We start from the raw sequence: 12,206 nt of genomic DNA, 5'->3' as shown, positions 1-12,206 counted from the left end.
AAGGAAGAAACAAGATCGACAGAAAGTTTTCACAAAAGGAATGGCACAACACATCCCAGGACCTAATCCTCTTATGAGGGTCACCAATGGCTAGGAACTCTCTGGATTACCTCCCCACCTCTGTCCTTCTATCTGCCCTTTACACATTGAATCAGGTCTAAAGAATTAGCACTGCCCCTTACAGGGGTAGGGATGGGGACAAGCTGGAGGGGGAATGTGAGTCATCAGAAGCTTGCTATGTTTTCTAACTGGTAGATGGTCTTCAAACCTTTTAAGCCACACAACCCATCAGTAAAAACTGTTTGACAATGTACCCCTGAAATATATGTATTTATTTTTAAATTATTTACATGTACTTACTATCAGCTATCCACTTTTTTAAAATATTGATACATCTTACTTTCAGATTAAAACAAATAAAAGGTCTAATATTTTCTTTTACTTGCTCCTAATTGACCATCTTCTTTTTTTTTTTTGAGATGGAGTCTTGCTTTGTTGCCCAGGCTGGAGTGCAGTGGCGTGATTTTGGCTCACTGCAACAACCTCTGCCTCCTGGGTTCAAGCAATTCTCCTGCCTCAGCCTCCCAAATAGCTGGGACTACAGGCATGTACCACCACCCTTAGCTAATTTTTGTATTTTTAGGAGAGATGAGGTTTCACCATGTTGGCCAGGCTGGTCTTGAACCCCTGACCTCTTGATCTACCTGCCTCAGCCTCCCAAAGTGCTGGGATTATAGGCGTGAGCCGCTGCACCTGGCCTAATTGACCATCTTCTATACCCCATGTGTAGTCTAGACTCAACTTTGAAAACTACTGCTCTAACCTTTGGGTTCCCCAAGTTCCGGCTTTTTGTTGGCAAAGGAGGAAGGGGAGGGATCCACTCAGAGAAAAAAGGGGCCATGACTGCATACATGAACTATGTTCAGAGAAATCAATAAAAAAAATGAGCACTTCAAGCTCTCCCCTGGTTTGCCAATGATGACAGGAGAAGGCAATGGTATTCATGAACTCTGTGTTACCTCTCACTGAGCCTAGAGATGGCATTTAAAATGGCACAGCTCGACTAAGCCAAAGTTGATGCTGTGTCTCATTGGGCCTCATGGGTCATGAGAATCTGGAAATACACGGGCTTGTACCAGACTCTGGGGAGCAGGTTCCTGGACCACTCATTACTACCTGGGGTTATGTCACCCTCTCTAAAAGAGGAGTGAAGGTAAAGTAGAGGTTGGTGGAGCCTCCTAATCCTTCATCTTGGTATTGTGATTCCCTACACATTTCAGTGTTGTGGGATCCTCACCCCCAATCCCAGGATGGGCATGAGAGAGACTGCTCCCCTGCTGTGCATGATCTTCATGCAGTTCAGTCACATGGACAGAGGTAACCACAGCCTAGAGCCAGGACCACCACAGCCGCTGGAGGTGAACCAAACTCATTTCAAGCACCTGCTCTATGGCAGTCTCTGTGTGGGAAAAATGGAACCCAGATCCTTAAGAAGCTCTTGGGCCAGTGCAGGAGAAAGATATGCAAACACACACGTGGAGTGCAGGGGATGTCTTAGTTTGGGTTTTCTCCCAAAGCAGACTGAGTCAAATTGTTCACTTGGGAGGCATTCCTAGGAAAAATACTGAGGGCGGGTGAAGTGAAAGAAGGAAGGGAGGAAAAGTCACAAAAGAGGCATCAATGAACAGGCTGTCACTGTGGGTAACTGGGCCTCCATCCCTCAGAGAACCCCTTGAGGAATTCTGTTGAACTTTCTTTCTCAAAGTGTGGCCAGCAGCATTGGCATCACCTGAGAGCTTGTTAGAAGTGCAGCATCTTAGGCTGTACCCTAGACCTACTGAATCAGAAGTTGTTTGCACATCAAAGTTTGAGAAACATTGCCTTAAATCTTTCATCTTTGCCAAACATAACAACTTTGATACAAAACATTTTTTAAAAACTATTTTAGGACTTGGTTCCACTAAACTGGATACTTCTATAACTTTTTTGAGGTTTCCAATATTTGAAGTGCATATTAAAGTTTTTTCAGCCCTTAGAAAGCTATTTAAAATGCAACTCCATTTACCTGTACTTTATCATAATTACAACTCAATTGCCGAGACAGAAGGCTCACACAGCCAACTGTTCTGTAAAATGCAAATTTTGTATGGGAAGTATTTTCCCTCAGAGAAAAATAGAGCGGCTGTCATGTAGAAGTTATTTTTAAAGAAATACACCAAATGTCTCCTGTAATTTAATGTTTTATCAAAATTTCAGTGAATAGAATACCCTTTGTGAAAGATCAATATATATAACTCAGATGTAGCTGGACTGTCTTTACTGTCTTACATTTCTTGCCAACTGATGGGAATGGGATGTGGGTGGGAAGATGAGGAAGTCAGGAATTTTAGCCAGGAATTGCCTTCCTGGAGAGGATTTCACATGGTCTACTGATGTTCTCTTTAATCTCCACTCCTGATCTGTGTCTGACCATTTAAATGTTAGCTTGTTTGCTGTTAATGTTTAGCAAACATTATTGTGCCAGGCACACTAATGGTAGTTGTCAGCATAAAATGAGCAATAGAGAGACTGACTTTCCAAAGCAGAGAGTTTATTTGGGAAGAGCAGGAGATTGCAATCCAAGATATACATGCTATGATGGATCATAAGTGCATCCAAGGTGTTTGGGGAAAGGGGAAAGCTTTTAAAGACACAAAGGAGAAACCCACATAAGCTGTTTTGAAACAAGGACCATTGGTTATAGGGGCTTGTTGCAGGAGTTGGCATTAGCTTTTTGGTGGAGACAGCTGGTGTCAGGCAAGTATCCTTGAGCAAGTGGCTTATCTGGATTACTGCTTTGTATATTAACAGACTCAAATATGTTTAGCTTTTTGATATGGCATGAAAATGAGATGCTGAAGTATATATACTTTAAAACTTATGTTAAGCAATAATGTTTCAGTATTTTACCTTACTTGGAAATGATCTAGATTTAAATTTTAACTTAGAAAAATTCGAAGGGTATGGTTACCAAAGAAATTTGGGACACTTTTGAAAGCAGACATTTTAAAATATAATTATTGTTTAAAACTACATTTATAAACTTTTATTTCAGTTACATCTATTTAATTCACTCATTCTTAACAATTATGCTTGGAACACTCATGAAAATTACATGAGACATGAGACAAAGCTGCCATCACCTCAAGTTATTTTCCTATTATCCATCTTGACAGCACATGCATGTCAGGCAGTCATGACAATGCAAGAGCCCTAAAGTTAAGTACATGAGTATTGTTGACAACTCAGAAGACACAAATGTTCTCATTAAACTGACAATATTAAACGAGTCTTATTACAGATTTACTCAAGTCATGTAAACCTGAAAAGCATTTAGACTAGTTCCTATATTTCTAGGAATTTTAGGTATACTCATTTATCTCTAAGCCAATTTGAATAAAGCCTTTAATATTTGTAGAAAAGACCTTTACAATTTTTCATTTGCTCAATATTCAAATAGTCAAAAATCATGCCAACAAGGAAGAAAGTGGACAGAGGGGCAGAGCATATAAAGTTAGCAGGGCTTTTAGAAAAGGAATTTCAGTTGACTAAGACGTTCCCATGGGAGAAGCAAGATTTAATAGAACAGAGGGGCCTTAAAAAATGTATGCATAGCCTGAATATTAGCTTCCAGTTGACTTCTGGCCATAGTGTTCCTTAAAAAAATTCCTCCTCGGCCTGGCGCAGTGGCTTACGCCTGTAATCCCAGCACTTTGGGAGGCTGAGGTGGGCGGATCACGAGGTCAGGAGATCCAGACCATCCTGGCTAACACGGTGAAACCCTGTCTCTACTAAAAATACAAAAAATTAGCCGGGCGCAGTGGCGGGCGCCTGTAGTCCCAGCTACTCGGGAGGCTCAGGCAGGAGAATGGCATGAACCCGGGGGGCAGAGCTTGCAGTGAGCCCAGATGGCACCACTGCACTCTAGCCTGGGTGACAGAACGAGACTCCGTCTCAAAAAAAAAAAAAAAATCCTCCTCAAATGTCTTACTATCAGGTTTCATCTGTGACAAACAGCAAATATTCCTGGCAGTATTGAACTTTTTTGTTTTCCTTTCTGAGTATACAGCTTAGGAGAGAAAGCCAAACAAACAGTTCAATTCCAAACCAAAGGTGTAATTCAAACTCATTCTTACAAACGTTTTTCTCCTGAGAAGCTCTGCATTTCAATTTTATGCTGCAAACGATAGGCTGTGTGTGGATGTGTGTATGAAAATCTTGGTCTACAATCCCACACAAATTTCATTCAGATTAATGGTGGAGGAGTCAGTCTAGTCAGACACATTGTCTTTCTGAGAGCCTCACAAGAGTTACTTTTATAGATAAGAATGATGTGTGGTTAGCATAGTATTTTATGCAAATGGTAGCTTCCTCATCCAGTGTAATGCATCTTTTATTCCTTAAGAACAGATACTTCAATGGTTGAAGCTGCTATATATTTACCCAGTCCTTCACAGGTTGGTTGTTGAGGATCAAGAATAATTTCCCCCTTTTTCCTGTTTATTTTAAATAGGCAATATGTTCCTATGACTCAAAACGTAGATGGTACAAAAAGGTCTTTGGTGACAAATTTCCCTTTCACCTCAAGCCACTATCAAAGAGAAATTACACTGGATACTTGTTAAAAATGGCAAGACAGATTTTATTTGAGCTATTGCAGTAGGGAAGAGAGACTTCAGCATATAACCAAAGTCAACTCTGAATATAGCAAAGGTAGCTGGGGATTTTTAGCCAATGGACTTGGTGAGGAAATCAGTGGATAGAAAATTATTAAGAGGAACTTGATTAGATATTAAGGGTGGGGGTTCTCACTAAACTGACTTGCTAAACTTGTGTTGGCAGGCCAAGGACAAGGCCTAGTTGAGAAGAGGACTCAGAGAAGCCTGAATAATTTGGTCAAGGAGGGAGTCCATGTCACCAGCCAGCAGTGTTCCTTTCTGTGGACAACCACTAATACTGTATTTATTTTGTTTTAATAACCTCAGGTATTTTCTTTATATTAAATTATGTTAGGAAAAGTCTCATTTCAACCAGATATGATCCAATCTTACTATTTGTTTAGGGAAACTTTGGTTCTAGAAAATGCTGCCCTATTCACCAATTCCATTTAGGGCCTCATTTTCTTGGGTATAAAGTGGGATTGCTGTGAACTTCCTCAGAGATTGTAAAGATATAATTGATGTATAAGGACTCAGCAGCACCTGGCACATGGCAGGCATCTAATGATTGAGATTGCCCTTCCTCCCTTTCCCTGTTGCCAAATGGGCTGTTTTCCCAGCTTTTCCTGGGCCTCTTGTTTGAACCACAAATTTTGGTGCCCTAGCAGTCCTTGGTGCTTGTGATGGAGATCTGTTTCCCTGCCATCTGTCTTTGTCTGACAAGCTGCATGTGAGTTAGTGCTGCTCACATGCTCTGCACCTCCATTCCATGCTGCTGCTCAGCAGCAATGTCTGCAGCCTGAGATTTCCTTAGTGAATATTCTCAACTTACTCCATACTTTGAAAAAAATAGCTTTACCTGTGTCACATGACATTGCTAGTTGTGGTTCACTATGTGCTTTAAATACTAATTATCCTGGAAGTTGAATGTATGGAATATTACTTGAATTATGTGGAGAGTACAGTAGCTAGTGTTTGGCTGGGTTGTTGTTCCATGAAGGATACATTCTTTCTCAGATTCCTCTTTGCCTAGCAGTGCAGTTAGAGACAGTCCCTACTTTTGAGTGGAGGGGAAAGGTTTGGGCTTTACAGTTTTGAGGGAGCTTCCTTTAAATCCCGGCTCCCTGGCTTTCTAGCTTTTCCAAGCATTAGCTTCCCTAGGATAACCCAGGTGCAGGTGGAATCTCTTAAAGCAAGTTGGTTGCCCTCCACCTTGCTCCTAGGTCGGAGGTTCTCAAAGTGTGCTCCCTAGATCAGCAGCATCAATATCACCTGAAGTTTGTTAGAAATGTAAATGAGAAACATTGAGGTGGAGGCTGGGTGCGGTGGCTCATGCCTGTAATCCCAGCACTCTGGGAGGCCGAGGCAGGCAGATTGCTTGAGGTCAGGAGTTCAAGACCAGCCTGGCCAACATGGTGAAATGTTGTCCCTACTAAAAATACAAAAACCAGCCGGATGTGGTGGTAGGTGCCTATAATCCCAGCTACTCAGGAGGCTGAGGCAGGAGAATCGCTTGAACCTGAGAAGCAGAGGTTGCAGTGAGCTGAGATTGCACCACTGCACTCCAGCCTGGGTGACAGAGGGAGACACCATCTCAAACAAAACAAAACAAAAACCCGAAACATTGAGGTGGAGCCCGGCAATTTGTCTTTCAACAAGCTGGAATGTTTGTTGTTCCAGAGATTCCTTCAACAAGAATCTTTGGAAAGATGATTCTGATGCACTCTCATGTTGGGATACTGGCTTTACTGCATAAAGCCACCAGGCAGAGGCTCTTGGCTTCTGTTAATATTTTCATATATTCATTTATTTTAGGTTAGTGGAAGGTTCGTATTCATATTTGGGGATGACAGGGGTCAGTGTCTGGCTTGAGTGCTCTGGGCATGCCAGCCTTAAAGATGCAACAACCTCCACTGAGCCTGCAAAAGACTGAGAGAGTCACTGCTTCCTGCTCAGCTATACAATCCCCCTGGAGGTTGACAGGGGCTTCTCCATTGATGTCCAGGTTTACCACTAGGGTCTAACTCAGGGTTCTCAGCCTCACCACTATTGACATTTCAGGTTAATCTTCGTTGTAGGGGGCTGCTATGGTTTGAATGTCTCCCAAAGTTCATGTGTTAGAAACTTAATCCCCAATGCAATAGTATTGAAAGGTGAGAACTTTAAGAGCGTTTAGGTCATGAGGGTTCTGCCCTTATGAATGGATTAACATTGTTATCATAGGAGTAGGTTCATTATTATAAGAGTGGGTTTGTTATAAACGTGAGTTTGGCTTTCTCTTGCTCTCTCTCATGCATGCTTTCTTACCCTTCTGCCTTCTGCCATGGGATGACACAGCAAGAAGGCCCTTGCTAGATGCAGGCCCTTTGACCTTAGACTTCCCAGTTTCCAGAACTATAGGAATACAGTTTTTTCTTTGTAAATCACCCACCCAGTCTGTGTTATTCTGTTATAGCAACATGAAATGGACTAAGACAGGGGCTGTCCTATGCATTGTAGGATGTTTAGCAGTATCCCTGTTTTCTGCCCACTAGATGCCAGTGGCAGCACACCCTTAGTTGTTACAATCAAAAATGTCTCCAGACATTGTCAAATATTCCCTGAGGGGCAAAAATCACACTGTACCTCCCTTTGAGAACTGCTGGTTTACTTGGGTGACCACTTGATTGGGTGACCACTTGAGTGGAGGTAGTCACTGGGAAATTCTGTTGTCTGGACAACTTGCAATGGAGGGGAGAGCAGTATAACTGGAAGGAAGGTATTGAATCTTGGCCCCTCCAGTTACTAGCCACATGACTTCTTTCCCTATCCCCTACTCACTCCTAGTCTCCCTTAACCAAAAAATTGCACACACACAATCTTTATTTTCATAAATGACTTTTACTTATCATTTCTCTTGACAGTAATTCTTGGCAATGTGCATATAACATGAAGGGAAGCATAACTTTCAGAAGTCATCAAAGATATTATCCTGTTGTCCTCATTTTCTTAAACCATTAAAATATTTTCATTTATAAAAATTAATCTAAATATAAATATTGACACTAAAGATCAAAATCACTTGATGACAAAATAATTCTTCTGGAACTATAACATATGCTTATGGTTTTTAATAGTAAATTAAATCTTTGCACTTATTTGGCACAAGGAAACCTTTATAAAAGTTCAGATGCCACACAGCAGGCTGCTGCTGCTGCTTCTTTTTTGTTGTTTTTTGTTTGCAAGGCTTACACAGTACACATTTTTGTCAAAGAAAACTGAATATTTTTAACACTGTAACACAACAATAGTTGCTTTTCATGCCTCTTAAAGAAAACATTCTATTCGGAAGTCAAATCTTTTTTGTTGTGTTCTTAAAATTTGTTTTTGTTTGTTTGTTTTGCTTTGAATCACACCAACAGAACAAAAAGCCAAAGATTTACTTATTTCAAAGGAGTCATTTCTGTTAGATGACACATAACACAGCATCAGCAAGGAGTACTGGAAGATTAATGTAGACCCCCATCAGGAGTGGATCATAGCACACAAGTTAGCAGAAAATCAGATCTGGAAATGCACATAGCAGCAAAATAACGTAGAGGTTGAAAACAACAGAGTTAGGCTTTTGTGATGCATTCCAATCATAATTAGCATAAAGGTGTGGCTTTGGCAAATTAATCTCTCTGGCCTTCAGTTATTAAATCTGAAATATGGGAAAACCTATTGAATAAGGTTGCCATAAGGATTCAAATGAGAAGAACATTGCCTCCTTCAGAGCAGGCACTTAACACATATTCATCATAACTATTCTCTTGCCTCCTTTCTTTTACCTTCTTCCTAAGATTCAGACTATATCAGGAACAAACATAAAAGAAGGTTGTTAATGCCCAATTAATTGAGTGAAAGTTCAGTTCCATTATCTCTTATAAACACTCTAAATAGTCATACATTTGATATGGGTTCAAAGAAACCACAGACATGGAGTTAGAGTCAATTCTTGTGTCCATTAAATGCACAGTTTGTCCTTGAATTTTTTATACCTATAAATTTTCTAAGGCTATTCCCTAATCATTTTTATCTTTAAGGTCATTTTACTACTTTGCTGAATATTTATTGGGAAGTAAATTTGGAGTACAAAAATTTTCTCATGTGGTTTTTCTCTGCGATAATTCATTTACCTAAACTTTGTTTAGATGTGATCACTGCTAAACCACATCATGTTGACTCTGGACAGTGCCCTAAAGTTGAGCCAGTGATGGTCTTTCTCAAGACCCTTTCCCCTTCAGATCTGGGCAACTGTCAGTAAGCCCATGGAAGAACCCTAAATTCTTAATGAGACATTGTTTCAGATAGCCCTGGGCATGGCATGAGTGAGTCAGAACTTCTCATCCTGTGGCTTGTGATTGCAAAGCGATGGGAATGACTGGTAGTGTGGTAGGCTAAGCTTTTAGCAGGAAGGAGGTGGCTGAAGGGAGACCTGCAGTCTTGATGGTTGAGCAATCCCCAAATTAGACTGTCCCTAGTGCTCACTGCAGGGACTTGCTTTTCCCTTAGGATTTGCAAGACAAAGATGCTTGTGAGAGATTAATAAGCATTAATGATGTATTAAATAATAATTCCCACCTTCCTCCCTCCACCTCCCTCCAGCAGTTTTCCTTTGGACAAATTGTTGACATGGAATACTAGCTGAATCAAATGTATTTAAAAAAAGATCTTAAAGTCAACATACAGTAGCAAAGCAAACAGGGAAAATATGTATCTTAAACATGGAGCGCTGCTGTTGGAAGCCAGTGTCTTCATTTTCTGTCTTGGATTCCCCTGGGAGCCTAAGGCAGAGAGTGGGCAAGACCGCAGTGCTGAAGTCTGAGACGGCTTTCTGGATGAGGTATCAGGACAGCCCTGTGCAATGGTGCACTGTGGCCTCCCCAGGCCTTCTCCTCAGGTGGAAATACATACAGTACTCGATGGCTGTTGGGTCAAGGCACTGTCGTGTACGGCCGGAGGCAGTGGGTCACTGGCAGTGGAATTCCATGGTGTCAGTACATCACAGCTGACTCCAGAGCAGGCTCCTGAGGTGAGACATTGAACACACTCCCATCAGCCACTTGGGAAGAGTGAGAAGAAGCAATGAAAAATAATGTTTACTGCTTTTTAATATCAAAAGCTATTCATGCTTTTTGACCAGTTAGATGTTTCACAACATTTAGAAACTGATGTCATTTTTAAATGCATGCTTCTTAATCCACCTGAAATTAATTTTGGTATTTGGAATAAGGTAATGATCAAATGTGCCTTCTTTCCCACTACCATCCCAATGTCCAGTATTCCAAGCACAGTGTTCTTGTTTAATAATCCATACCTTCTTTACTAGTTTCTAAATCTTTTATAAAGATAATATAACACATTCTCATATGTGGTTGTATCTATTTCTGGGCTATTTATTTCATTAATGATCAGTTTCATTTCAGCTTTTAATTTGTCTTAAAATCTGGGAGGAAAATCTTTGTAATTTTGCAAAGTGCTTTTGTCTATTCTTTCTGATTTATTATTATATGAACTTTAATTCAAGGAAAATTTCACCGAGTTTTTTATGAAAATTGGATTAAGCTACAAATTAATTTGGGAAGAAATGACTTTTCTTATTGAACTGTTGATGTGATTTATTAAAATCCACTTATGCCTAGTGTTCCATTATTGGAATGCTAAGCATATGAGAGTTATTTATATCCTACTGCTCAAGGTCATCACCAAGGTCTGATTTTTCACTCATGCAAAAATTCAAAAAACTGCAATCTCCAGCATAAATGGGATTGATATCACAGTATTTAAGCTATCCTTGCATTCCCACAAAACCTACCTGTTATTTTTTCATTCATTCTTAGAGACAGGGTCTCACTCTGTTGCTCAGGCTGGAGTGCAGTGGTGCAATCATAGCTCACTGCAACCTCAAACTTCTGGGCTCAGGGGATCCCCGCCTTAGCCTCTCCAGTAGCTGGGACTACAGGCATATGCCACCATGACTGGCTAACTTTTTATTTTTTGTAAAGACAGGTCTCACTATGTTGCCCAGGCTGGTCTTGAACTCCTGGCCTCAAGTGATCCTCCCACTTTGGTCTCCCAAAGTGCTGGAATTATAGGTGTGAGCCACCTTGCTTGGCCTACTGTAATTTATTACTGAATGCACTTCTCTTTAATTGGCTAATATTTTATTTCATATTCTTCATCTCTGAAGAAGTACAACTGGTGTAACGATTTTTGTGTGTCTGTATGTGCCTGTGTGTGATGGGCACAGAACATGTATACATGCTTACCAGCCACGGAGCAGGCTTTCATGATTGAGGTTATGATAGCTTCACAACATGAATCTTTTAGTTTTCAATATTTTGATGACCTGGAATATTTTATATGGTATGGGAATTGTTCCTTAAAAAAAAAATCAGCAAAATCATTTGGCCACAGAATGTTTTTGAAAGGTTTAATAAATTTTAAGTTTCTTTTTATTTCTTAAGTTAGTTTTTGCTATTTTTCTGATTTGATTCTGATTTGACTAGTATTGATTCTAAATTTATCAGAATAGTTTTACATCACATTGTATATATAAAAAATTGACATCCTTTTATATAATCTAGTTTGCAGTTTTTTTATGTGACTTACAAAATATTTTTTTTTTCAAATAACTTCTAGATGTAGATGTAGAGAGATCATTTCTATAATTTCTGGTCTTAATTAAATGTTTTTTGGGTTTATTTTTGATGTCGGGAATTTTCTTTAACAAGGAACAAAATATTTAATATTATAAATTTGACGCAGTGTAGTTTTATATGTATCCTATTTGCTTTGATATATGTAATGTTTTCATTTTGTAAGTAAGTGCCCTGTGGATTTTTCTAATTCAGTAGTTATTTTGAAGTGTGTGTGTTGCATGTGTATGTGTATGGACAGTTGTGTATATGAGTACAAGTGCTTTTTAACTTCTAAGTAGGGTTTCTGTTTTTTAACTTTTGTTCTGATTTTCTAGATTGGCCCTGTCCAACATGGTGGCCACTAGCTACATGTGGCTATTTACATTCAGATTAACTAAAATTTAAAAATCAGTTCCCTCAATGCAGTAGCCACATTTCAAGTGCTCAGTAGCCACACGTGGCTAGTGGCCACTGTACTGGTCACTGCAGATATAGACCATTACCCTCATTACACAAAGTTCTATTAGACAGCACTGCCCTAGATTATGTTTGGCATTGTTATCATAGAGGGTTTGTTTACTTTTTGGAATTTATTGAGGTATTCTTTGTGATTTGGTATAAAGTCAATTTTTATAAATGGTCCATTGATGCCTGGAAAGACAGTGAATGATCTATAAAGCATAGTTAGATAAACATCTTAATTAAAGCTTAACAGTTACACTATTCTCTAATTTGTATTTATTTATGGGTTATTTGGGCTGTCAAAGGCTGATAAGGGAGTTTTAAAGTCACCAACCGTTGCACCATAAATTGTGTTGCTCTACTATCTGCCAAATCAATCAAGAAA

The 12,206-nt window shown here is 39.7% G+C and overlaps 1 protein-coding gene and 1 long non-coding RNA gene across 8 annotated transcripts in view; one reads left to right on the top strand and one right to left on the bottom strand.

Moving 5' to 3' along the window:
* EIF1B-AS1 (EIF1B antisense RNA 1) overlaps window positions 1-12,206 on the top strand; it is a 136,554-nt gene that overhangs the window by 41,820 nt on the left and 82,528 nt on the right. The window lies entirely within an intron of this gene.
* MYRIP (myosin VIIA and Rab interacting protein) overlaps window positions 7,558-12,206 on the bottom strand; it is a 451,408-nt gene continuing 446,759 nt past the window's right edge. For all 7 annotated transcript variants that reach the window (NR_104316.2, NM_001284423.2, NM_015460.4 and 4 more), the window contains one exon: window positions 7,558-9,745. Coding sequence is in view for 6 of the 7 variants with exons in the window: in NM_001284423.2 (NP_001271352.1) it covers window positions 9,713-9,745 (33 nt within the window). In the remaining variant the exon portion in view is untranslated. The remainder of the gene's footprint in view (window positions 9,746-12,206) is intronic.

This window comes from Homo sapiens, chromosome 3 (assembly GCF_000001405.40).
Source record: "Homo sapiens chromosome 3, GRCh38.p14 Primary Assembly".
In the NCBI taxonomy this organism is placed as follows: Eukaryota; Metazoa; Chordata; class Mammalia; order Primates; family Hominidae; genus Homo; species Homo sapiens.
The sequence above is the reverse complement of the archived record's forward strand: the minus strand, read 5'-3'. Positions and strand labels throughout refer to the sequence as shown.